The sequence below is a fragment of the Homo sapiens genome, chromosome 3 (genome assembly GCF_000001405.40).
Source record: "Homo sapiens chromosome 3, GRCh38.p14 Primary Assembly".
Lineage (NCBI taxonomy): Eukaryota > Metazoa > Chordata > Mammalia > Primates > Hominidae > Homo > Homo sapiens.
The window spans coordinates 119498547-119526321 of NC_000003.12; the positions used below are offsets into that span (position 1 = coordinate 119498547).

The 27775-nt window shown below is 38.4% G+C and overlaps 2 protein-coding genes across 3 annotated transcripts in view, besides 1 other annotated feature; one reads left to right on the forward strand and one right to left on the reverse strand.

The window, feature by feature from the left end:
- On the forward strand, positions 1-26544 carry TIMMDC1 (translocase of inner mitochondrial membrane domain containing 1). Of its 2 annotated transcripts, NM_016589.4 has the most exons (7): positions 1-381; positions 2149-2314; positions 4986-5074; positions 5408-5475; positions 15095-15173; positions 18659-18769; positions 25060-26544. In NM_016589.4, the coding sequence occupies exons 1-7, from the start codon at positions 188-190 to the stop codon at positions 25208-25210; spliced, it is 858 nt and encodes a 285-aa protein (NP_057673.2). In that variant the 5' UTR covers positions 1-187; the 3' UTR covers positions 25211-26544. The 2 variants fall into 2 exon arrangements, with proteins under 2 accessions (NP_057673.2, NP_001424969.1); NM_001438040.1 differs by lacking the exons at positions 2149-2314; positions 4986-5074; positions 5408-5475; positions 15095-15173 and having other exon boundaries at positions 25060-25735.
- Positions 7263-7463: a silencer, noted in NCBI's record as "peak4782 fragment used in MPRA reporter construct". NCBI's record gives its function as "represses an SCP1 promoter by STARR-seq MPRAs in K562 erythroleukemia cells {active_cell/tissue: K562}" and the evidence as "EXISTENCE:reporter gene assay evidence [ECO:0000049][PMID:32103011]".
- The window catches only part of CD80 (CD80 molecule), a 35322-nt gene continuing 33293 nt past the window's right edge, over positions 25747-27775 (reverse strand). The window contains exon 7 of the mRNA NM_005191.4: positions 25747-27203. The gene's annotated coding sequence lies outside the window, so the exon portion shown is untranslated. The remainder of the gene's footprint in view (positions 27204-27775) is intronic.

Here is a 27775-nt window from a genome sequence, read left to right on the forward strand (position 1 = left end):
GTCGTATTTCCAAGGACTCCAAAGCGAGGCCGGGGACTGAAGGTGTGGGTGTCGAGCCCTCTGGCAGAGGGTTAACCTGGGTCAAATGCACGGATTCTCACCTCGTACAGTTACGCTCTCCCGCGGCACGTCCGCGAGGACTTGAAGTCCTGAGCGCTCAAGTTTGTCCGTAGGTCGAGAGAAGGCCATGGAGGTGCCGCCACCGGCACCGCGGAGCTTTCTCTGTAGAGCATTGTGCCTATTTCCCCGAGTCTTTGCTGCCGAAGCTGTGACTGCCGATTCGGAAGTCCTTGAGGAGCGTCAGAAGCGGCTTCCCTACGTCCCAGAGCCCTATTACCCGGAATCTGGATGGGACCGCCTCCGGGAGCTGTTTGGCAAAGAGTAAAAGTGCCTAGGGTGTGAAGTGGGGTAGGGGGCCGCGAAAGCGGTGTCCTGCAGCGTGGGCAGCCTGGGTCAGCCTTAGGACACCAAGGATGGTGTGCTTCATTTTTAGATTATATTTGAGGTTCTGATATTTGTAACCCAAGCTTGTATCTTTTTTCTTTCTTTTTTTTTTTTTTTTTTCCAGACAGGGTCTTGCTCTGTCGCCCAGGCTGGAGTGCTGTGGTGCTATCTCGGCTCACTGCAACCTCTGCCTCTGGGACTCAAGTGATCCTCCCACCTCAGCCTCCCGATTAATTGGGACTACAGGCGCGCACCACCACGCCCGGCTAATTTTTTTTTAATGTATTTTTTATAGACAGGGTTCTTACCATGTTGCCTAGGCTGGTCTTGAACTCTTGGACTTAGGCGATCCGCCTACCTCGGCCTCCCAAAGTGCTGGGATTACAGGCGTGAGCCACCGCGCCAGCCCAAACTCGTATTTTTCTTTCTTTTTTTTTTTTTTTTCGAGACTGAGTCGCGCTCTATCGCCCAGGCTGGAGTGCAGTGGTGCGATCTTGGCTCACTGCACTCTTCACTTCCCAGGTTCAAGCGGTTCTCCTGCCTCAGCCTCCAGAGTAGCTGGGATTACAGTTGCCCACTACCATGCCCAGCTAATTTTTGTATTTTTAGTAGAGACAGGATTTCACCATTCGCCAGGCTGGTCTGGAACTCCTGACCTCACGTGATCTGCCTGTTTCCGCCTCCCAAAGTGCTGGGATTACAGGCCTGAGCCACCGCGGCTGGACTGCGCCCGGCCTAGAAGGGCAATTATTTTATAGTAACTTAATACTTAAGACAGCTATTTGTTAGAGCAGTCTCAGGATGACATCTTGGAAGCTTCATTAGCAGTTCTAGCTTCTTATGCATTTGAGAGTAACAAATCGAATTAAATAGTAGTTTTTCCTTGTTATTTTAGATTGGCATGTGCCACCCACTGCATAGTGAACTTTCCCAGTGCGTTTTTAAAAAAACATTTATTTGTTTATTTTTAGAGCCAGGATCTTTGCTATGTTGCTATGCTGGATTTGAACTCGGGCTCAAGTCCTACCTCAGCCTCCTAAGTTAGCTGTGACTACAGGCGTGTGCTACTGTGCCCAGCCCAGTGCTTTTATTAGTACAGTCCTATCTGAGTATTTCATGAAATTATTTAGTAAAATAGAATTTAGATTTTTTGTCTTACATCCACGTTTTTATTCTTTCATACATTGCCCTAAAATCTCACGAGTTGGTGTGATTTCTAAAAGTTAACTTAAGATTTAAACGGAAATATTGGTCTCTCTATCCAACTCACAAATTCTTCCTATTTCTAGGGGTGTAATAGTCATCAAAAGCACCTTTTAAAAAACTTTTTATTGGAGTAGGAAATGCATTTCGAAAAATGTGCCTAAGTATACTGATGGATGAATTTTCACAAACTGAACATAGCTGTACCCAGCACTAAGAAAGAAATGGCAACTATTGTAACATCCCAAAAGCTCCCCTTGTGCCTTTTCCGGTCATTGTCTTTTCAGGAGTTGCCACTATCCTAATTCTAACACCATAGCTTCGTTTTGTCTGAGACTACGTTCCTTTTAATATAACTGAACTGTTTAATTCATCTGAGAATTCTACCTATGATGAAAAATGTTGTGGTGGTAGCATTTGGGTTAATTCTGATTATAGAGTCTCTTGGAGAGCAATGTCCATAAACTAATCCCAAACAACATTGTCTTTTTGATGTTGTAGTGAACAGCAGAGAATTTCAAAGGACCTTGCTAATATCTGTAAGACGGCAGCTACAGCAGGCATCATTGGCTGGGTGTATGGGGGAATACCAGCTTTTATTCATGCTAAACAACAATACATTGAGCAGAGCCAGGCAGAAATTTATCATAACCGGTTTGATGCTGTGGTATGTACTGGTGATCTAAAGAAATTTGGGGCACACTGACTTAGTAATTCACTTTACACTTAATCATTCAATTAGGTTGTGGGGATGGAGGGTTGTTTTAAGGTGTCAGAGTAAAGAAATAAAGTCTGTACTTAATAACAGTGGAAGTACTAATGTTAAAGTGCCTGCATGTTGTTTGAGAGACTACTTTGTTATCTTCAGAACAGGCATGTTTGGCATCACCACTGTGGCTTTTCTTTCTCAAATACATTTCTTCCAATCCCCTGCTAAATCGTCAAGGCTCAGCTGTAACATATTTACCTCATTCACAAAGCCTCCATGAGTATAGGAGCTCACACTAAAGCAATAGTTAACATTTATAACTTTATAGAGTGCTAACTCGTTTGTTACATCATTAGATCTGTACATCAGTTCTTTTGTGAGAATATTAAAGCTCAGAGAATTTTTAACTTTTTATTTTGAAATTATAGCAGGCTTGAAAGTTGCAAAACTAGTACAAAGATTTCCTATATACCTTTCATCCGGATTCTCCATTGTTAACATTTTACCATGTTTGTTTTATCATTCTCCCTCTGTATAATATGTACTAATTTGTTCTGAGCTACTTGACAGTAGGTTATAGACATGATGAATACTTCAGTGTGTTATTTCCTAAAAACAAGGAAATTCTCTTATACAACCACAATTATAATATCAAGATCAGGAAATTAACACAGATATAGTACTATTATCTTATTTAAAGACCTGTAAATTTTGCTAGTTATCCCACAGTATCATTTATTTTAAAAATAAATAAAAAAATGTATTTTTCAGAAGTTAGGCTTGAGTTCTTATTAAAAAATTAATTAATTAAATTTTTTTTTGTCTGGTCCAGAATCTGACCCTGGATCACATGTTGAATTTGCCTGTTATGCTGCTTTGGTCTCATTTAGTCTGGAAGAGTTTCTCTGTTTTTGTCTTTCATGGCCTTGACTATGGGTGATTTATTTTGTAGAATGTCCCTCAATTTGGGTTTGTTTGATGGTTTCTCATGACTGCATTCAGACTATGTTTTTTGACAGGAATACCCTAGAACTGAAATTAAATTAGAAACCCATGATATCTCTGTCCCTTTACTGGTGATGTTTACTTCAGTGACTTGCTTAAGATGGCCTCTGCCAACTATACACTGTAAAATTACTATGTTTTTCCTTGGTAATTTATAAGTATTTTGAGTACTTGTTAGTTCCTTTGAGACTATGTAAATATCCTGCTTTTCATCAAATTTCTACTACTTAAATGCTATTATAAACTATAATATTTCTACTATCTAAAAACTATTCTAAATTCTTAGCATTTATAATTTTTTTATTTTTTTAAAAATTATTTATTCCTTTATTTATTTTTTGAGACAGGGTCTCACTCTGTTGCCCAGGCTGGAGTACAGTGGCACAATCTTGGCTTGCTGCAACCTCCATTTCCCAGGCTCACTCGATTCTCCTGTCTCAGCCTCCCAAGTAGCTGGGACTATAGGCATGTGCCACCATTCCCAGCTAATTTTTGTATTTTTTGTAGAGACAGGGTTTTGCCATGTTGCCCAGGCTGGTCTCAGAGTCCTCAGCTCAAGCAGTTCACCCCCTCCTTGGCCTCCCAAAGGGTTGGGATTATAGGTGTGAGCCACTGTGCCCAGCCTATTTTTATTTTTTAATTAATTAATTTTTTTTTTGAAATTTTTTGAGGCAGGGTCTTCCTGCCTCAGTGCAGGCTGGAGTGCAGCGGCGCGATCATAGCTCACCACAACCTCAAACTTCTGGACTCAAGGTTTCCTCCCGCCTCAGCCTTCCGAGTAGCTAGGACTGCAAACACACACCACCATGCCTAGCTAATTCTTAAATTTTTTTTGTAAAGGCAGGATCTCGCTATGTTGCCCAGGCTGGTCTTAAACTTGTCGGCTCAAGTGATCCTCCCTAGTTGCCTCCCAAAGTGCTGAGATTACAGGTGTGAGCCACCATACCCAGGCAGTTTTAGCATTTAATGATGATTCTTCCTGTAACAATTATGACTGTGGTGGCCAAATGGGCATTTTCTAAAGTCTATCATTCTTTCTACATTTATTGGTTAGTATTATGCTCTAAGGAAGTGTTTTCCCTTCCCCCCTCTATTTACATATTTATTTATCTATTTATAATTTATTTCTATCAGTAGGGACTCATGGATTCTTATTTTATTCTGTAGATTTATAATTCATTACAGGTTGAGCAGCACAAATCTGAAATCCTGAATGCTCAGATTCAAAACTTTTTGAGCATTGACACGTCATTCAAAGGAATTGCTCATTGGAGCATTTCAGATTTCGGTTTTTTGGATTTGGGATGCTCAACCAGTAAGTGTTAAAAGCGCATATTCCCAAATCTGAAAAAATCCTAAATCCAAGTATCAGATAAGGGATCTGGTCTCAAGTATCAGATAAGGGATACTCAACCATTTTTTCATCTCCTGATAGGATAGGCTACACATGGAACTTTTACGTAAGCCTCAATACTTAAAGAATAGTATTTCTAGAGATTTTCTAGTATTTCTATCTGTTTGGGTGTACCTGACTAATCCATAGCTAAAATTCCTCTACCGCAGTTCTAGAATAAGGAAAATATGATGGTGTCTTAGAACCTCACAGTTTTTTAATTAACTTTAGCAATCTGCACATCGTGCTGCCACACGAGGCTTCATTCGTTATGGCTGGCGCTGGGGTTGGAGAACTGCAGTGTTTGTGACTATATTCAAGTAAGTTCACTCTGAATTGTGAGATAGTGAATTTTCTTGATATTGTTTTAGGAGTGTGTCTTTTGAGCAGGTGGGGTTATGAAAACTGAATACCCACATGAAAGTGATTAATAATGCCTTTTTTTTTTTTTCAAGAACTTTTCTCTGTGTAAAAGACTGGTGTAGTTATGGTTTTACAACCATGTCTGGAACACATTGAAGGGGCCTAGGCTAGGAACAGGGATTGATATAGTAGGCTTTTCTAAATCTATTAAGTCAGTGAAAATAACACTCAAGAAGGTAAATGGGATATGCTTTAAATCTTATATTTTCCTTCTCCTCCCTTTTTACCAGCACAGTGAACACTAGTCTGAATGTATACCGAAATAAAGATGCCTTAAGCCATTTTGTAATTGCAGGAGGTAAGACATTTTTGTTTATATTTTTCAGTCTTCTCAAATACAGTTTAGAAAATGTGTAAGGACTTATACATCAGAACTACTGAATTCTTTGGTTGGCTTCCCATTACATCTCATCAACATTGATGCAAAATGTATTTATGGACAGTGTTGTGCTTCACCCTTGATATACTCAATGGGCAAAACAGCAAGGCCCTTGCTTTCTTTGAATTTTAATGTCTAATATGTATGTGATAATACAGGTTGTTGTGATAGAAAGTAACAATTCGGTGGAACAATGGGATCTCATATGGACAGGGTAGTCAAAGAAGGCCTTTCTGAGGAAGTGACATTTGAGCTGATACCAAAGAATAGGAAGGAGCAAGACTTGCAAGGAAGGGTGTCCTAAATAGAGGGAACATCAAGGGGGAAGGCTCTAAGGCAAAACATTTCCTTAAAAGCAGGATAATAACGTGGTGAGTGAGGGAAAGAGTAGCTTGAGATGAGATTGGTGAGGACTATAGGAATGGACTAGATTTTTTATGGTAAGAACTTGGATTTTATTTTAAAGCTCTCTGCCTCTAGTATATATATGTATATTTTCTTTTTAATGAGCATTAAAAATAGAAGGTACAATGGTGATTACCAGAGACTGGATATGGGGTTGGAAAAGATGTTGGTCAAAGGATACAAAATTTCATTTAGACAGGAGGAATAAGTTCAAGAGATCTATTTAAAACATGGTAACTATGGTTACTAACAGTGTATTGTATACTTCAAAATTGCTTTTAAAAAGTAGATTTTGGCCAAGCGGTGGCTCACACCTGTAATCCCAGCACTTTGGGAGGCCAAGGCAGGTGGATCATCAGAGGTGATTTGAGACCAGCCTGGCTAACATGGTGAAACCCCGTCTCTACTAAAAATACAAAAATTAGCTGGGTGTGGTGGCAGGTGCCTGTAATCCCAGCTACTTGGGAGGCTGAGGCAGGAGAATCACTTGAACCCAGGAGGCAGAGGTTGCAGTGAGCTGAGTTCACGCCATTGCACTCCAACCTGGGCAACAAGAGTGAAACTCTTGTCTCAAAAAAAAAAAAAAAAAGTAGATTTTAAGTGTTCTCACCACAAAAAATAGTATGTGAAGTAACGTGTAGGTTAATTAGCTTAATTTAGCCATTCCCCAATATATACATACTGCAAAACATGTTATACACCATATGTGTACAATTTTTACTTGTCAGATTTAAAAAATAATTTTAAAATGAGCATTCGTTTCAGAAAGGTAAGTTAACTGCTATATACACTCAATCACTAACTTGTGTACATTCTTTTATGTACAACACACATATGTATTCTGAACATAAGTTTGTTTTTGTTTTTTTTTTTGAGATGGAGTTTTGCTCTTGTTGCCCAGGCTGGAGTACAATGGCGCGATCTCAGCTCACCACAACCTCCGCCTCCCAGGTTCAAGGGATTCTCTCCTGCCTCAGCCTCCCTAGTAGCTGGGATTACAGGCATGCGCCACCATTCCCAGCTAATTTTTTGTATTTTTAGCAGAGAAGGGGTTTCTCCATGTTGGTCAGGCTGGTCTCGAACTCCCGACCTCAGGTGATCCGCCCATCTCGGCCTCTCAGAGTGCTGGGATTACAGGCGTAAGCTACCACGCCCGGCCTGAACATAACAGTTTTTAAATGTTTTTTTGGGAATAAGCTTACAAAAGATTGCAAAATAAAAATAATACAAAGGGCAGTCTCTATCCTTCACATACAGAGACTTAGCCATTGTTAACAATTCATGCTGAGAATTTATCCGAAATTAAGTCAGACAACTTGCTTTATCTTCTTGCTACTGCATGCACTCTCCCTCTTCTCTGTGTATATGTGTACACACATGGGAAAACACACAATTTGAACTTTTTTTTTTAACTTTTAACTTCAGGGGTACATGTACAGGATGTGTAAGTTTGTTACTTAGGTAAACGCGTGTCATGGAGATTTGCTATACAGATTCTTTCATCACCCAAGTATTAAGCCTAGTATCTTAGTTGTTTTTCCTGATCCTCAAACAACATTTTAATGAAAACTTTTTAAAATACAAAACTAGAAATAGGCATTAATAGCGTTAGAGCAGCCAGATTGTTTCATTTTTAAATTTGCAAGCATTTTTACATGGGTCTTGTCTACCCACTTTTACTTCCTTACTTGCTCCTGCTGTTACGTTCTCTGTCAATTGTTAAATGTGAAAACCAGGCCAGGCACAGTGGCTCACGCCTGTAACCAGCACTTTGGGAGGCCAAGGTGGGCAGATCGCTTGAGTATAGGAGTTTGAGAACAGCCTGGGCAACAAACATGGCAAGACCGTGTGTGTGCAAAAAGTTATCTGGGCATGGTGATTCATGCCTGTAGGCTCAGCTACTCAGGAGGCTGAGGTGGGAGGATGGCATGAGCCCAGGAGGTCGAGGCTACAGTGAGGTGTGATCATGCCACCTCATTCCAGCCTGGGCGACAGAGCGAGACCCTGTCTCAAAAAAAAAAAAAAAACTAGAAACCAAGGAATGATATGGTTCTGCTCTTTTTTCTCTTTCCACTTCTTGTCCTATTAATTATACTCATTAAATATATATGGATTCTTTCACTTCTTTTTTCCCACTGCTACTATCTTATCGTCCCTGTTTCTAATCTTGATGTGCTCTACCTGTAACCTAGTTACATTTTTGAAATATGAATATGATTTTGCCACTTTTCTGTTTGAAATTCTTCTATAGTTTCCTGTCACTTTAATGTCAATTCTTGATCTGGCTTCCATGCGCCACTCTTTTGCTTTCACTTTACAATCTCCTCGGATTTCCCAACATGTTCTTTCCTTTTGTGAATCAGTCCCTCTTCTTGAATGCACTTTCCCACTACCACAATTAATTTTGTTCGGCTCCTACTTAACCTTACCTTTCAAAGTCCAGATCATTTGTCAGCCTCAGCTTCCCTAGAGAGTTCTCCCTAGCCATTTTCTCCCTAGCCATGTTTAGTTCTATTTAGCTGTCTTTCCCTTGTGTTCACATACTTCACTGTTTTTTTCTTTATCTTTGATTTTCTGCAGTTTGAAAATGATATGCCCAGGTGTAATTTTGAGGAACATTTACTGTGCTTGGTGTTTTCTGAACTTTCTGGATCTGTGGTTTGTTGTCTGACTTAATTTAGGATAAATTCTCAGTGATTGTTTCAAAGATTTCTTTAGCTTTCTCTTCTCCTTCTGGTGTTCTAGTACACTTATACCTTTTGTAATTGTTTCACAGTTCTTGGATATTTTATTCTGTGTTTGTTTGTTTGTTTGTTTTTGGTGGAGGAGGTTCCCATCTTTTTTCTCTTTGTCTTTCGGTTTGGGAAGTGTCTGTTGATAATGTCTTCAAGCTCAGGGATTCTTTCCTCAGCTGTGTCCAGTCTACTATTCTTCAGTTCTGTTACAGTGGGTTTTTAAATTTGTTTTATCGCTAGCATTTCTTTTTGATTCTCTCTTCGAATTTCCATCTCTCTGCTTATATTGCCCATCTATTCTTGCATGCTATCTACTTTATCCATTAGAGCCCTTAGTGTATTAGTCATAGTTGCTTTAATCTCTTCATATGGTAAGTCCAGTATCCCCACCATATCTGAGTCTGGTTTTGGTGCTTACTCTCTTAGTTTTACTTGGTCTCTTCAAACTGCTTTTGCCTTTTAGGATGCCTTGTAATTTTTTTTCTTGATAGCTGGACATGATGTACCTGGGTAAAAAAGGAATTATGGTAAATAGGTCTTTAGTAATTTGGTATTAAGATGTGGGAGAGGGAAAGTGTTTTGCAGTCCTATGATTAGGTTCTTAGTCTTTTAGTGAGCCTGTGCTTCTGAACTGTTAACTTCACAAGTGCTTTTCAGTTTTTTTCCTCTCCTTTGGTGGGACAGGATACTACAGTGGGTTGGAATGGGTATTTCCTTTCTCCCACATGGGAGGCTAGAGCAGTTGCATTTGGATATTCCCCAGGCTGGTTAATCTCTGACAAAACCCCAATAGTTTGGGCTGTGCAAAACCATTTATCTTGAGGGCAGGCCTTAGTGAGAATAACGGAATGTTCTGGCATATTTCAAAATGGTTACTTTTCTTCCCCCTTGCCAGAAGCCTGAGGGGATTTTTCTCAGATCTTTACTGGGAGAACTTGGTAGAGCTCCTGGAGTGTGGGGACCCTCTATGATTGGCTCCCCTACAGTTTTTAGGTCTTAGACTTTTCTACACTGAACTTCCAGCAATTTATCATTTATAGTCAAGGTTTCCTACTCTGGTACTGGTTTCCATGGAGGCTTCTGCTCGTGGGTTTCTGCTCTAATAAGGTGTGATTCTCTGTATTTATCTGTCTGTCTCTCCTATTTTGAGGGCAGCAGTTTACCCATGATCTCACTTCTTTGGTGGATCTAAGAAGAGTTGTCAGTTTTTCCATTTGTTTAGCTTTTTACTTGTTGTTAGGAATAAGTGATAAACTCTAAACTTCTCACATGCCATACCAGAAACTGGAAGTCTCCCTTTCCTTTTTGCCCCACATCTTGACAAGCTGATAAGAAAGCCCAAGTGCTACCTTGGTTGACACCAGCAGGAAGTTTCAACCATGCAAGCTCAGGCCTACATGAGGGAGCTCTTGCTCTAGCCCCACCTTCTAAAACCACAAGCCAGTCAGTCAGCCTTCAGGTTCTCAAGTCATTTTGGGACATGCTTGGGATCTTGCCTTGCTCTCCCTGGAAAGCCTTATTATATGTGTAATAAACCTTTTGGTATCCTCTTAGTACCTCTTGGTACTTTGGCATTTCAATATCTGATTCAAATTTTGGGTGGGGGAGTTTATTGTCTCTGGAGGGTAACCACAACATCTTGCAAGTAGAAAATCCAAATGAATTAAGAAAACCATTGGAAGGCCAGGTGTGGTGGCTTATGCCTGTAATCCCAGCGATTTGGGAGGCTGAGGCAGGCAGATCTCTTGAGGTTGGGAGTTTGAGACCAGCCTGGCCAACATGGTGAAACCTCGCCTCCACTAAAAATACGAAAATTAGCTGGGCATGGTGGTGCACATCTGTAATCCCGGCTACTTGGGAGGCTGAGGCAGGAAAATGGCGTGAACCTGGGAGGCAGAGCTTGCAGTGAGCTGAGATCGCGCCACTGCACTCCAGCCTGGGCTACAGAGTGAGACTCCATCTCAAAAAAAAAAGTTAAGTATAATTTACTGTGCAACTCAGCAATTCCATGTCTTAGAATCTGCCCAAGATAAATGAAAACATGTCCACGCAAAGACTTATATATAAATTTTTATAGTGGTGTTATTCTCGACAGCCTCAAACTGAACCCATAAATTCATCAACTAGTGAATGGATAAATAAAATATGATATGTCCATTCACTTGAATATTTTCATCAGTAAAAAACTGATACATGCTGCGACATGAATAAAACTCAAAAACATTAAGTGAAAAAAGCTAGACACAAAAGACTTCATATTGTATAATTCTATTCATATGAAATGTCCAGAATAAGCAGATCTGTAGAGTTAGAAAGTACATTAGTGGATTGAGGTGAGATTGGGAACCAGGAGTAACCACAAATGGGCGTGGGGGATCTTTTTGTAATGATGGAATCATTTAAAAATTGGATTTTGGTGATGATTATATAGCAATGCAACTAAATTTTTTTTTTTTTTTTTGAGACGGAATCTTGCTCTGTCGCTCAGGCTGGAGTGCAGTGGTGCGATCTCGGCTCGCTGCAACCTCCACCTTCCGGGTTCAAGGGATTCTCCTGCCTCAGCCTCCTGAGTAGCTGGGACTACAGGCATATGCCACCATACCCGGCTAATTTTTGTATTTTTAGCAGAGACAGGGTTTCACCATGTTAGCCAGGATGGTCTCAATCTCCTGACCTCGTGATCCGCCCGCCTCGGCCTCCCAAAGTGCTGGGATTTCAGGCATGAACCACCGTGCCGGGCCACTAGATTTTTTTACTAAAAATTATTGAATTGTACATTTAGGTGAATTTTGTGTTATGTAAATTATACCTCAATAAAACTGTTAAAAATATATTAACACAGAAGGGGAAAAAGGCAGTGCTTTTAGATAGGAGGAAGCAAAATTTTCTGTATTTGTAGGTAATATTTTAAAAGATGACTTGAAAAATTATTGCTATCAGTAAAGTGTAAATATATAAATAGCCTTTTTATATTTCAGCAGTTACTTGAAAAGTAAAAAATTTTCTTAATAATAGTACTAAGAATGTAATATAATAAGGAATAAATTTAATAAATGTACAACTTCTCTGAAGAAAATTACAAATCATAAATAATAAAAATGGGGAAACAGTTGATAGTTAACCCAGTATTTTTCTACTTCATTTATAAATTGAAAGCAATTCAAATCAAAATTACAGGCTTTTTTAAAAAAACTTGATACAATGTCTAAATCATATCTAAAATGCTGATTATTAAGAGCATAGCAAAGACATTTCAGCAAAAAATAATGAGGGGTTCTTGCAACTGTAAAATTAAAATCTGTATAAAGTTACAATAAAGAGGACAATAAAGAGGTATTGGTAGATCTGTGGAATGGAATTGCAAGGTCAGGAACAAAACCAAGCACCCACAAATAAGTAAAGGTGATACTTCACATTCGTGGTTTAAGAATAGACCATTCTTGGGCTGGAACAGTTATTAACTATTTGGAAAGAAATTATAACTATATTCAGTACAACAAAATTAGTTAACATTTATTATGGTGCTTATGTAAAAAAATCCATAAAAGATTGGGGAAAATATAGAAGTAAATGTGTCTCTGATTTCTGAGTAGGAAGATATATAAATGTGTACATATACAAGTTGACCTTTGGACAACACTGAAAACAGCTTTGAACACAATAGCAATGCTGACATCTGCCCTGTGCAGTTGAAAAATCCACATATAACTTTTGACTCCCCCAAAACTTAACTACTAATGGCCTGCTGTTATCCAGAGGCCTTACCAATAACATAAACAGTTGCTTCACACATAAATAGATTGGTGTCTACATATATTTTATGCACTTAAAGACATACATTTTTCTTAATTTTTTTTGATATTTCTAGGCTAGACAGTTTATCTGCGAGTTTTTTCAAATTATTGCACATTTCCAAAACATTTTTCAATATATTTATTGAAAAAAATTCATGTGGCCTGGCATGGTGGCTCATGCCTGTAATCCCAGCACTTTGGGAAGCTGAGGCGGGTGGATCACTTGAGATCAGGAGTTCGAGACCAGCCTGGCCAACATGGTGAAACCCTGTCTCTACTAAAAAATAAAAAAAATAGTTGTGGTGGCATGCACCTGTAGTCCCAGCTACTTGGGAGACTGAGGTGGGGGAGAATAGCTTGAACCCGGGAGGCAGAGGTTGCAGTGAGCCAAGATCATGCCATTGCACTGCAGCCTGGGCAGCAGAGTGAGACTCCATCTTAAAAAAAAAAAGAAAAAAGAAAAAAAAATTTGTGCGTAAGTAAATCTGCACAGTTCAAACTCATGTTTATCAACTGTATGTATTTTTAAGCATAAGAACTAAGAAACTAGGAAACAGGAAACACAGTTTTGGCCACATAAAATTTTTAAACCTATCTATGTCATAAATACTATGGAAGACATTAAATGTAAACAATGCCAAAATAATAGTATGTGCAGGTAATGGATAAAAGCCCTAATATATCAAAAAGAAAGGATAGCTCAGTTGAAGACTGGACAAAGGACATGAATTTGTAATTCACAGACGTACCACAAATAACTTGTAAACCTAGGGAAAAACAACTTTTTTCTACTAATCAGAGAAATGCAACTTAAAAATTACATACCACTTCTGGCCTATCAAATTGGAAAAAATAAACTAAGAGAATGCAGAAGACTAGATTACTTGCATACTTTTATTTGGAAAATAAGTTTATGCATCCTTTTTGAATAGCAGTTTAGTAATTTAAGTCAAAAGCCTTAAAAATGTTTATACTTATACCTTTTGGCCCAGAAATTTCATTTCTGTGAGTTTGTCCTAAGGAAACAATCAAATGTATAAAAAGATTATTTGTGGAGGGATTATCATCATACCTTTATTTAAAATATCTATAAATAGAAAATCTAAGTGTTAGACAAAAATTTGTGGTACCTCCATGCAATGGAACTAGGTGGGAGAAAACTCAGTGATACAGAATTTAATAATATGTTCTGTGAAAATAAAAAATTTAGTATGTACACCATGGCCCCAGTTTTTGTGTTTTTGTTTTATTTTGTTTTTTTAGACAGAGTCTTGCTCTTTTGTCCAGGCAAGAGTGCAGTGACGCGATCTCGGCTCACTGCAACCTCTGCCGCCTGGGTTCAAGTGATTCTCCTGCCTCAGCCTCCTGAGTAGCTAGGATTACAGGTGTGTGCCGCCATGCCCGGCTAATTTTTGTATTTTTAGTAGAGACGGGGTTTCAGCATCTTGGCCAGGCTGGTCTTGAATTCCTGACTTTCGTGATCCACCCGTCTCGGCCTCCTAAAGTGCTGGGATTACAGGTGTGAGCCACCGTGCCCGGCCCCAGTTGTTGTTTTTGTTTTTTGTTTTATTTTGTTTGGAGGATCAGAAAAAAAGACTAACTTATTACTGACTCTGGGTAATGGGATTAAAGGTGATTTTGATTCTTGTTAATTTTGAAAATTTTAAAAATGAATATATAGTACTTAAAAATATAAACCTCAACTGTTATTTATTTTGTTTTTTGAGACAGTCTCATTCTTCCGCTGAGGCTAGAGTGCAGGAGTGTGATATCTGCTCACTGCAGCCTCCGCCTCTGGGGTTCAAACAATTCTTGTGCCTCCGCCTCCTGAGTAGCTGGGATTACAGGCGTGCACCACAATACCCAGCTAATTTTTGTATCTTTAGTAGAGGCAGGGTTTTGCCATGTTGTCCAGGCTGACTTAGAACTCCTGACCTCAAGTGATCCGCCTGCCTTGGCCTCCCAAAGTGTTGGGATTACAGGTGTGAGCCATTGCACCTGGCTTCAAATGTTATTATTTAAAAAGTGTTACCACCTTAGATGGCATTAGTTGCATTGTGCATAGTGAAAGGAAAATGAATGAGCATGATTGATGCACAGTCCCAGCAGAAAGGAAAGAAGTCTTTCTGTGCACTGGTCACCAGGTAGCATTGTAGGCCAAATGCTGCTTGCTTGTCACCCTGCCTGAGTGGTGCCATGTAGCAGTACAGAGAGAGTGAGTCTAGGGGAAGGCATAAACTGGAGGGGCTAGTGAAGGTTTTTTGCTTTTTTATTTTCCTTGAAGAAAGAAGAAAGAAAGAGAAGGGGAAAAACATTTTCAGATTTTTAAGGAGAGATGGGCAAAAATGAAGCAGAATGAATGGATCCATAGAACATATTGAAGATTTACTTTTGTAGAAGGGATGTGTCTTCCTTTGAATCTGCAGAGTGGATGGGAAGCTACCTGTGTTGGCATTTTAGATTCAGGAAGTATAGGCTGTAGTAGTATATTAACATTGGATTCAGAAAGCTCACTTAGGGATTTCCTTTTTGTAGAAGGAAAGTTTTAAAATAGGATTCTAGTTTTAAAGATGATTTAATATTGCCTTTCTTGTTTTTAAATAGCTGTCACGGGAAGTCTTTTTAGGATAAACGTAGGCCTGCGTGGCCTGGTGGCTGGTGGCATAATTGGAGCCTTGCTGGGGTAAGCATTAACATGGTTTGGTTCTAAATTGGCACAATTTTCATTAATACCTTGCCTATTAAAAAGTCTCATTTATTTTCAAAGAACAAATTTAATCCTTAGAATCTATAAAAGATCTCTAGTCTTGCATTGGCAGTAGCTTTGACTGTCCATTCTAATTCTACCCCAATAGTTTATCTTATTTACAGTTTTTATTTATAGTTTCTTTTACTTAGTAGTTATTACAATAAATAACATTGACTCAATACAACTATCTAAGATAGGGCCCTTATTCAAAATGCCTTTTTACCAGCTAAAACTGTTTAAATATTGCTAACACCTGAAACTATAGTTCGAACACAGGTATTTATGGGAGCAGGGAAAAAAGAACAAAAAACAGTTAACAAGCATATTCTGTAAAAATTGTTAGGATTTTGTTTGTTTTGCTTAATACATTTTTAAAAAATGTTCTTCCTCAATTTTTTACTTTGAACAATTTCAAACCTACAGAAAAGTTGAATGAATTAGTACATTGAAACCCCATATACCCTTCACCTAGATTCACCAGTTGTTAACGCCTTGGTGATATTTTCCATATCTATGTATATGTGTGGGATGTGAATATATTTCTTTTTCTTTCCGTTTGCTTCTTGGCTAAACTGTTTGAGACCTCATGATACTTCACCCCCATATATATCAGCATGTATCTCCCAGGATGAAGAATACTCTTCCATGAAATCATAATACAATTATCACAGTAAACATTGTTTCAACACAACTATCTAAGTTAGGGTCTATATTAAAAACTCCTCAGTTATCATACTAATGCCCACATGTTTCTCCATTTTGTTTGATCATCCCATCATGATTAGATTAATGTATTTTTGTCAGGAATACAACATAGGTGAAGTTGTATCCTCATGTATCACATCAGGAGATATTCTGTCACCCATTATAAGTAATATTAACTTTAATTACTTGATATATTGGTTTTCTGCTGTGCAACAAATTACCACAAACTGAGCATGTATTGCATGTGAAACAACACCCTTGTAGTTCTGTAGATTATAAATCTGGCTGGGTTTCCCTGCTCAAGATTTTACAAGGCCAAAGTCAAGGTCTTGGCCGGGCTAGGCTCTTACCTGGAGGCTCTGGGGAAGAATCTGTTTCCAAGCTCATTCAGGTTGTTGACAGAATTTAGTTCCTTGTGGCCAGGCACAGTGGCTCACACCTGTAAAACCAGCAGTTTGGGAGGCCGAGGCAGGTAGATCACTTGTGATCAGGAGTTTGAGACCAGCCTGGCCAACATGGTGAAATGCTGTCTCTACTAAAAATACAAAAATTAGCCAGGTGTGGTGGCAAGCGCCTGTAATCACAGATACTCGGGAGGCTGAGGCAGGAGGATTGCTTGAACCCCATATACCCTTCACCTAGGCAGAGGCAGAGGTTGCAGTGAGCCAAGATCGCACCATTGCACTCCAGCCTGGGCAACAGAGTAAGACTCCATCTCAAAAAAAAAAAAAAAAAGAGGAAAAACTAAAAAAGAATTTACTTCCTTGTGCCTTGAGGTCTGAGGTCCCTGTTTTCCTTGCAGGCTGTCAGCCAGACTATTCTCTGTTCCTGGAGGCCACCCACATTTCTTCTCCTAGGGCCCCTTTGTGTTTAAACCAGCTACAGCACATTAACCCCTTCTCATACTTCAAATCTTTAACTTCTACTCTGCCACCAGCCAGGGAAAACTCTGCTTTTGAGTGTTCACTCAGATAGCCATCTCCTTTTTCATTATCTCAGATTCAACTAATTAGTAACCTTAATTACATTTCTGAAATCAATTTTGCCATGTAAGATAATATAATCATGGGCATAATATATTCACAGTTGAGGGATTAGGCAGGATATTTGGGGGGACCACTTTAGAATTCTGCCTACCACACTTGGTTAAGGTGTTATCTGTTCAGTGTCTCCATTGCAAAGATATCTTTTTCCCAATGTGATTAATTAGTAATCTGGAGGGTGAAACTGAATATTCTGCTCTCCAGCTATCTTTTCATCATGTGTTTTTAATGATCCATTGACGACCCATGCTGTAATCGGTTGGTTACTAGAAAGGTGGTTGTAAATGTTGATAAGCTAGTTCTGTCAGTTCTTCTGTTTTTATTAGTTGGTATTTGTCTGACTAGAAGAGTGCTACCTTCGTCCTCCACCTGTTCACCCCTTTGTCTACCTCCTTTGAAGGAGAAGGTAATGCTATAGATTTAATGATTTTTTTAAAAATTTGAATTAAATAAAATCAGCATGTCATAATCTACTGCTGCCATTGCTTTTGTTGTAGTGTTAATATACCAGTTTGGTTTGAAGGGAAAAGTTGTAGGAGTTAGCAACAAAAATATTTTTTATTGTGGTAATAAACACATAGCATAACATTCACCATCTTAATCATATTTTAAGTGTATAGTTCAAAAATGCTAAGTATATTCACATTGTGCATGAGATCTCTAGAACTTTTTTATCTTGAGAAATGAAACTATATGCATTAAAAACTAATTTCCCCTCCCCATACCCTCCAGCCCTCAGCAAATATATTTCTACTTTCTGTTTCTAAGATTTTGACTACTTTAGATACTTCATATGAGTGGAATCATACACTATTTGTCCTTTTGTGACTAGCTTATTTACTTAGCATAATAATGTCCTTGAAGTTTATCTATGTTGTAACCTGTTGAACGGATTGCCCTCTTTTTTAAGGCTGCATAATACTCCATTGTATGTGTATGTTACATTTTCTTTAACCATCTGTCAGTGAACATTTATGTTGCTTCCACTTAGCAAAAATAGTTATTAGTATGAGGTTACTTAAATTGTAGCTGGAGGAAATTTAAGGTGTATGAAGGTCAAATACTTCTAGTCTGAGAACACAAGAACCAAACTCTCTTCATCACTATAATAATTATTATCTAAATCAGTTTCTCAATGGGTTGCTATTGGCATTGTGGGTGAGACAGTTACGCCAGACTCTTGAACTTCAGGATATTTTGGTGGTCCCACCCCCAAAAGCCAGTAGCATCCCTCCCTCAACCAGAAATGCCCTCCACATTTCCTGTCTCCTAGAGGAGCTGGTGCCATTCTGAACTAGAAATTTCATTTTTGAGAAATCTTTGGTGTGGGGCTACTTACTAGAACTTGTCATAAATATATATATTTTTCCTCTTTGTTTTGATTTATTTCTCATTCCTCATAAAAACAGCCAGTTTCTAGATCTGTTGTTTTATTATATATCAGTTAACTTTAGGAGGTTGTAGTGATTGTTTTTGTCTGTTGTTCAGACCAAGGAAGAGATTACCTCAATGTTTTTCTTTATTTGACAAGGACACTTTAATTCTCAAATGTTCCTGTACCTAATAGTGAACAAGTGGCTCTGGTGTTGCTCACACCTTAGCAGAGAATCTCACATGTTGCAAGGTCTAATGACTCGTTTTTCCTAAGCTTTCCCTCTCCTTTCTTCTCAGCACTCCTGTAGGAGGCCTGCTGATGGCATTTCAGAAGTACTCTGGTGAGACTGTTCAGGAAAGAAAACAGAAGGATCGAAAGGCACTCCATGAGCTAAAACTGGAAGAGTGGTAAGGAACATGTTGAGCCCAGGGAATCTTGGCTCTCTTGCCCCAGGCCTTATATAGTGGTGCTCTTTTAAACTTATGTACTCTAAACTGCCACTCAATTCAAAGAAGAGTTTATTTTTACCAAGTCCTTCAACTCATACTGTACATTGTCTTTTAATCTATTTAAGGAGAATGGAAAAATGAAAGAGATTGATTTTAGTTTTAATTTAATGAAGATCTTTCTTTGGATATCTTTTTAAGTTAAAAGTGGTGTAAATCTTGCTTGCATGTTTTTTCTTTTCCTGTGTTCTTAACTGCATAGGAAATTACCTAAAGGGAATATTCACCAAGGAGTGAGCTTTACCTGGCTTACTTAAAAAGTGACATCCTTAGCCTAGCAGGGTGGCTCATGCCTGTAATCCCAGCACTTTGGGAGGCCAAGACAGGTGGATCACCTGAGGTCAGGAGTTCGAGACCAGCCTGGCCAACATGGCAAAACCCCATTTCTACTAAAAGTACAAAAATTAGCTGGGCATGGTGGCACGTGCCTGTAGTCCCAGCTACTCAAGGAGGCTGAGGCAGGAGAATCACTTGAACCTGGGTAGCGGAGGTTACAGTGAGCCGTGATTGTGCTCCAGCCTGGGCCACAGAGCAAGACTCGGTCTCAAAAAAGAAAAAAAGTGACTTTTTTTTTTTTTTTTGCATACATATGTAAGTAAGACACAGCATGTTAAGTCTCCACAAAAATTCTATTTCTTGCTGTAGATGCAGAGGAATTAGGTGGACAATGGTTGTTCATGCACTGAATGCCACTGAGGAACATGAAAACTTTCACCTATTGCATCTAATCATCTCCTGGGATGCAATTTGTGGGATAGGGCAATCAGACTGATAGCTGACTTTGCACAGATTCAATATGTAAGATGAATATAACAGGCTGCCATCTAGTGCTCCTGAGTACAAATGATTTTCACTAGTTCACCTTCCTGGGTACCTAAGACAGCATTGGCTGCTGCTGCTGTTGCTGTTTTGGTATTATAATTGGATAGATGAGAAATCATTTTTTTCCAGTGTTTTCATTTGAAACCTCCATTTCTGCTAACCACACACACACAGACACACACACGGAAATTCTTAAGAGCTGTAGGTCCATCATCCAAGGACTTAAGTGCTATATGAGAAGAAAAGCATTGAGGTTGCAGTGAGCTGAGATTGCGCCACTGCACTCCAGCCTGGGCCACAGAGCAATACTTCATCTCAAAAAAAAAAAAAAATTAAAAAAGTAAATGAAACATTAAAAACTGCAGAAGTTTGTCAGTGATTTAGAGATCAGTGATTTTGAGATGGAAAAGCTTAAGAATGGCTGGCTATGGCCATTCTAAGGTCATTCACCTGGAGTCTTCCACCACTGGCAACCCTGCCAATTCTAGTGGCTGAGCTGCCACGTGCACCCCCTGAAGACTGGCTCATCCAGGGTCCACTGCCACCATTTACCTCCCCCCATCAGTTTAACAGCAGATTTGCCAGCAGAAACCTTACAAGTCAGGAGAGAATGGGATGATACATTCCAAGTGCTAAAAGGAAAAAACAAACAAACAGACAAACAAAACCCAAAAAACTCCTGCCAAGAGTATTATACCTAGCAAAGCTATTTTTCCAAAATGAAGGAGAAATAGTCTTCTCAAGACAGGCAAACACTGAGGGAATTTATCACCACTAGACTGCCTTATAAGAAATGCTTAAAGAACTCCTACATCTGAATGCAAAAGCACGGTAACTACCATTATGGAAACGTGAAAGAATAAAACTCACTGGTAGAGCAGATACAGAAAGGAATCAAACCTTATAATTACAAAAATCTACCAACCATGAAAATAAGAGGGGAAGAAAGGGGAACAAAGATTATACAAAACAACCAGGAAACAGTTAACAAAATGACAGGAGTAAATCCACACCTATCAATAACAATGTTGAATATAAACACTTTAAATTCCCCAATTAAAGATTTAGAGTGGCTGAATGAATAAAAAAAAGTTTAAAGACTCAACTATATATACTGACTACAAGAAACTCACTTCACCTGTAAAGATACAGATAGGCTGAAAGTAAAGGGATAGAAAAGGATGTTCATGCAAATGGAAACCATAAATGAGCAGGAATAGCTATACTTATGCTAGATAAAATAGGCTTTAAATAAAAAACTATAAAAAGAGACAAGGTCATTATATAATGGTAAAGAGATCAATTCAGCAAGAGGAAATAACAACTGTAAATATATATGCACCCAACACCAGAGCATCCATATATATATATATCTAAACAAATAATATTAGAGCTAAAGGGAGAGATAAACCCTAATGTAATAATAGCTGGGGACTTCAACACCACACTCCCAGCACTGGACAGATCATCTAGACAGAAAATCAACAAAGAAATATCAGACTTAAACTGTACTGTAGATCAAATGGATCTAGCAGACATTTACAGAACATCACATCCAACAGCTGCAAAATACACGTTTTTCTTATCTTGAAGTGTTCTTCAGGATAAACCATATGTTAGGCTACAAAACAAGTCTCAACAAATTTTTAAAGATCAAAATAACATCAAATATTTTTTCAGACCACAGCAGAATAAAACTAGAAATCAGTAACAGGAAGGACTTTGGAAACTGTGCAAATACACAGAAATTAAATAATATGCTCTGGAACAACCAATAGGTCAATGAAAAAATTAAGAAGGAAATTTAAAAATTTCTTGAAACAAATGAAAACAGAAACACAACATACCAAAACCTATGGGATACAGCAAAAGCATCACTAACAGGGAAGTTTATAGCAATAAATGCCTCCATCAAAAAGTAGAAATGTTTCAAATAAACAACCTAACACTGCACCTCAGGGAACTCGAAAAGCAAGAACAAACTAAACCCAAAATCAGAAGGAAATAAATAAAAAGATCAGAGCAGAGCTAAGTGAAATAGAGACTTAAAAACAAACAAAAAAACACAAAAGAAGAACTAAATGAAAAGTTGGTTTCTTGAAAACAAAATCAAGAAACCACAAGTTAGAAAAAAGACCCAATTAAGGTAAAAAACAAAAAAGGAGACATTACAACTGATACCACGGACATAGTCATATCATTAGAGATTATTATGAAACAACTGTATGCCAAGAAATTGGAAAAGCTACAGGAAATGGATACATTCCTGAGCCCCTATAATCTATCGAGATTGAGCCAAGAAGTAATAGAAAACTTGAACAGACCAATAACAAGTAACAAGATTGAACTGGTAATAAAAAGTCTCCCAACAAAGAAATGTCCAGGACCACATGGCTTCATTGCTAAATTCTGCCAAACAGTTAAAGAAGAATTAAGACCAATTCTCAAACTGTTCCGAAATATTGAAGATGAGAGAGTTCTTCCAAACTCATTCTACAAGGCTAGCATTACCCTTATACAACAACAAACAGACAAAGGCTCATTAAACAACAACAACAACAAAACCTACAGGCCAATGTATTCTACAAAACAATCCTTAACAAAATACCAGCAAACCAAATCCAAGAGTACATCAAAAAGATTATACATCATGAACAAGTGGGATTTATCCTAGGGATGCAAGGATGGTGCAGCATACACAAATCAATAAATGTGTTACATCATATAAACAGAAGGAAGGAAAAAAACCATATGATCATCTCAGTAAATGAGAAAAAGCATTTGGTAAAATTGAACACCCCTTCATGGTAACACCTCCCAAAAAGTTAGGGGTAGAAGGACTATTTCTCAGTACAGTAAAGGCCATATATGTCAAACTCACAGCTAATATCATACTGAACAGGGAAAAGTGAAAAGCTTTTCCCTCAAAGAACTGGAATGAAATAGGAATGCCCACTCTTACCAGTCTTGTTCAACATAGTATTAGAAATCCTAGCCAGAGCAGTTAGGCAAGAAAAAGAAATAAAGGGCATTGGAGGCCAGGCACGGTGGCTCACACTTGTAATTCCAGGACTTTGGGAGGCCGAGGCAGGCGGATCACTTGAGGTCAGGAGTTCGAGACCAGCCTGACCGACATGGTGAAACCCCATTTCTACTAAAAATACAAAAATTGTCATGGTGCACACCTGTAATCCCAACTGCGTGGGAGGCTGAGGCAGGAGGATTGTTTGAGCCTGGGAGGTGGAGGTTGCAATGAACCAAGATGGTGCCACTGCACTCCAGCCTGAGTGACAGCATGAGACAAAAGAAAATTAGGCACAGTAGTGCATGCCTATAGCCCCAGTTACTTGGGAGACTGAGGCTGAAGGATCCCTTGAGCCCAGTAATTCAAGGCAGCAGTGAGCCATGATTGTGCTACTGCACTCCAGCCTGGGCAACAAAGTGAGTCCCTGTCTCTTTAAAAAAAAAAAAGTGGGCGGGGGAGCTTGGGGGGAAACTTGTATTTCTCAAAAAATACCTACAAGTGCTAACAAGTATATGAAAAAGTATTCAACATAACTAATCAGGGAAATGCAAATCAAAACCACAATGAAATGTGGTTTGGGGACAGTTTGGGAAATTGGAGTGATATTTATCCCAATTAGAATGTCTATTATCAGAAAGACAAAAAATAAATTTTGGCAAGGATGTAGAAAGAAAAGGGAACTCATATACTTTTGGTAGGAATGCAAATTATTACAGCCTTTATAGAAACAGTATGGAAGTTCCTCAGAAAACTAAAAATAGAACTACTGTAAGATCCAGCAATCTTCCCTACTAGGTATTTATCCAAAGGAAAAGAAACCAGCATATCAAAGAGTTATCTGCGCCCCCATGCTTATTGTAGCACTATTAATAGCCAAGGTATGGAATCAACGTCAGTGTCCATCAACAGATGGATGGATAAAGAAAATGTGGTATATATCCACCATAGAATACTATTCAGCCATAATAAAGAATGTAATCCTGTCATTTGTGGGAACATGGATGAGCCTGGAGGACATTGTTATGTAAAATAAGTCATACACAGAAAGATAAATACTGCATGTTCTGTTGCTCATGTGGGAGCTAAAAAATGGGCTCATAGAAGTAAAGAGTAGAATTATGGTTACTGGAGGCTGAGGAGGGGACAGGGAAAGGCATAAGAAGAGGAGATTTAAGGGATTGATTAATGAATACAAAATTATAACTAGATCGGAGGCATAAATTCTAGTGTTCTGTGGCACTGTAGGATGACTATAGTTAATAATTTATTGTATATTTTCAAGTAGCTGGAAGAGAGGATATTTGAATGGTCCCAGCAGTATGAAATGATAAATGTTTGAGGTGATGCATATGCTAATTACCCTGATTTGATCATTACACATTGTATATGTACAAAAATATCACTTTGTACTTCATAAATATGTACAATTATTAGTATCAATTTTAAGACAGATGGATAAAAACAACTTGAATCATAGTAATGAAAGAATACTTTGGCAGAATGAAAGTGTCAAAATTGTATAGCATATACACGTATGGGTGTTTGTGTGTGTGTGTGTGTGTGTGTGTGTGTGTGAGATATTTCTAAGGAGAGTTAATAAACGTTTAAGTGTCTTGTATGTGCCTACTTCTTCGCTTGAAAATAATACAGGAAAATCAAACAAATTGAGAGTCAAAAAAATTGCCTCAATGAGCAGAAAATGTAGAAAACTGACTATAGAGATATAGAAGAACAAATGACCAAATCTGTGAAGAGTTGAGAAGAAACTTTAATCCCGATAATCACTTAAGGAAGACACTAATACTTGATTTAGAAACAGAACTGATCTATTATTTGGAAATTAGTTTTTAACTCTTCATAAATATAAATCTATAGTTTTGTTCTATCTGACTTTTCTCTACCTTGGATTACCATTGTTATAGCCTTTGACCAGTTCCTAAAAGGTCTGGTCACAGAGTTTAAGAGTGGCAGGGTACTTACATTCCCCCAGCCCTGGGAGCAAGAGGACAGCGAGACTTCAAGCCTTCACACCTTAGCACAAAGTGTGTCAGTTCCCACACATCACTCCTGTGAGAACTCTAGGACCCAGCATACTAGGAATATCTTATGGATCAGAGCTGTCACCACAACGGTATCCATTATGGTAATGTGGAAATCATAATTGGCTTGTGAGGTTAGGAGAGAGAAGAAAGTTACTGTATTTGAAGTTCAGGGAGCAGTATTTGCTTCTAAATTGCTATACCAAAGCAGGGAGGAAAAGACAAATGCTATCCTTTTTGTTTTAAATCTGTAAGAACTAAAGAAATGGAGCAGTATTTGATTTATCCTTTTTATCTGATTACAGGAAAGGCAGACTACAAGTTACTGAGCACCTCCCTGAGAAAATTGAAAGTAGTTTACAGGAAGATGAACCTGAGAATGATGCTAAGAAAATTGAAGCACTGCTAAACCTTCCTAGAAACCCTTCAGTAATAGATAAACAAGACAAGGACTGAAAGTGCTCTGAACTTGAAACTCACTGGAGAGCTGAAGGGAGCTGCCATGTCCGATGAATGCCAACAGACAGGCCACTCTTTGGTCAGCCTGCTGACAAATTTAAGTGCTGGTACCTGTGGTGGCAGTGGCTTGCTCTTGTCTTTTTCTTTTCTTTTTAACTAAGAATGGGGCTGTTGTACTCTCACTTTACTTATCCTTAAATTTAAATACATACTTATGTTTGTATTAATCTATCAATATATGCATACATGAATATATCCACCCACCTAGATTTTAAGCAGTAAATAAAACATTTCGCAAAAGATTAAAGTTGAATTTTACAGTTCGTATATTCATGTGGTCCTTTGAAAGGGTATTCTAGAAATCACTGGAAAGAGGAGAGGAAAGAACCAGGTAGGCAAATGGTCTGTGAAACCCTTGGGTCCTGGAAGCAGTGTGAGTGTAAATGTGTAGTGTTTGGTTTCATCTAAATAAACAAAGATGATTTCTTTGACACTTGAAATAAAATACAAATTCAACAAAAAGTAGATCAGCATTATTAAAGAAACGGTTCAACTTTGTTTCTTCCCTTAGTATTGCTGACAAAGTATCTGCTGTAGAATACAGGAATTACTTAGAATAGAAACATAGTCATCACAACTGTTACTAAATGGAAAAGAAAAGAATTATTGAGTTAAGTATTCCTGTCAATACGGGAAACACTGCTAGTACCTTATGTTGGTGTTAGACCTCTCTGCCCTACACTGAGAATATAGTTTTACACAGGAGCAAGGTTTGTGAAGCAGCATAGTGAGGTAGCTAAAGCCATGGGCTGGCTCTAAAGGCTTTAAATCCCAGCCATGTGGCTTAGCTGCCATGAGATGTGCATTTGAGAAATGTTGTCTTCTTTTGCTGTTCAACTCCAGATTTTCAGATGATAATGTGATTATCCCAGCTTAAGTTGCGTCCACTTCTGGTCTAGTGAATTGTGGAAGGCAGTTTTAGAGAAAGGAGTCATGAGTAACATGAACAGCAGTTGGCTATGTCTTTCCAGTTCTCTGCTGATGTCAGAAAGACCCAGAAATACCAAGGAGAAAAAGCCATCTTAGGGATCTAAGGAGGCCCTATGGAAAGTTACTACCTTAGACATTTGAAGATAGCTTACTGCTTAGTACATACACTGTAAACAACGATCTCATTTTAAATGAGAACTTTCTCATAAATATTTTACAAATGAGGTCAAACTAGCATAAAGCCATTTAAAGAGATTATCAGTCCAATATGAACCAGTTAAGTCTTTGGACTATCCCTTTCCTCCTTGACTACTGCTTTGACGTACCTAAATCATTCGTCTTACATGTCAGAGGAAATTAGTTTTGGATAGTTCTCCTTTCTGCTGTACCTCATGGGGGAGTGAGAGAGCAGCAATAGAGAACACAATGAAAAAAATGGAATACTGGGTAAACACCAATAATATTTCCATTAGTCTCCTAAAGATGTTCATGCCATACTTCCTATGCATTACATTGGGCTTTTGTAAACAGCAGCATAAAATCTTCTACTCTGACATTAGGAAATCAGATAGTCTCTGAAGTTGACCTGTTATTGGACAAATTCTACTTCCAGCAGCACTTTGCCTGACATATATATGTATATACCAGTTAACAGGCCACAGTCAAACTGATAAAGGGAAAGAGCACCAGAGTTAGGAAATCTGGGTTCTGGCGCTGGCCTTTATAATTCGGGTCACCTCCCTGGGCCTCAGTGCCTTTGTCATTAATAACACTGGTATTCTCTAAAGTCCCTTCCAGAACTCAAGAATTCTGCATTTCAAAACACCTTGATCAAGGTCACCAGAGCTACTTCTGTGCCCACCATATTCCTCTAGACACTTCCTGCAAAGCAACTGAAGTGAAGAAGCACCTAAGAGCAGATACGTAAAGGGCAAGGTGGGGTAATCTTGTCCATCTGAGGAAGTTCCCAGAAGAGGTCAATTGCAAATGGAGGTGGGACCTGAGAAAACAAAGAAATGATTACATCAAACCCTATATTGGCAAAGGAGGAAAACATCTTAAATTTATTTATATATTAAATTATACATATATAATTTTTAAATTATATATGTATATATGTATATATAATTTAATTATATATGTATATATATATATTTTAAATATAAGATCTTAATTTTAATCTCTTAATTTACATTTTAATCTCAAGATCAAGGGTATTCCCAGCTTGTACACAGTAACCTTGATAGCTGAAGAATATGAAGGGAAAGCTGAATTATGAGAGAACTTAAAACTACTCTGGCAATTTTTGTCACATGAAATATCGATCAGGCAAATGTTTAGTTATTACCAGCTATTACCAAACGACCAAATGCTTGATCAAGCCACTCTTCTATGTGTGGGGCTCTCAGGCATGGTTGCTTTTCTCAATAAACCTACATACAGTCCAGTAAAGGATAGAAGGAAGATGTGGTACATGAAAATCAACCTATGCTGGTGGTATGAGATGTGCTATAGAGGTGGAACTGCTTGAGCTAGACAAGATGACCACAGAAGGCCTTGTGTAGAAGATTG

Excerpts from the sequence above, each read along its gene's own strand:
- TIMMDC1 (NM_016589.4), top strand. The coding sequence starts at position 188 with ATGGAGGTGCCGCCACCGGCACCGCGGAGCTTTCTCTGTAGAGCATTG. Across the intron at positions 2,315-4,985 it reads ATAACCGGTTTGATGCTGTG|CAATCTGCACATCGTGCTGC; the intron begins GTATGTACTGGT and ends AATTAACTTTAG. Across the intron at positions 15,174-18,658 it reads ATAATTGGAGCCTTGCTGGG|CACTCCTGTAGGAGGCCTGC; the intron begins GTAAGCATTAAC and ends CTTTCTTCTCAG.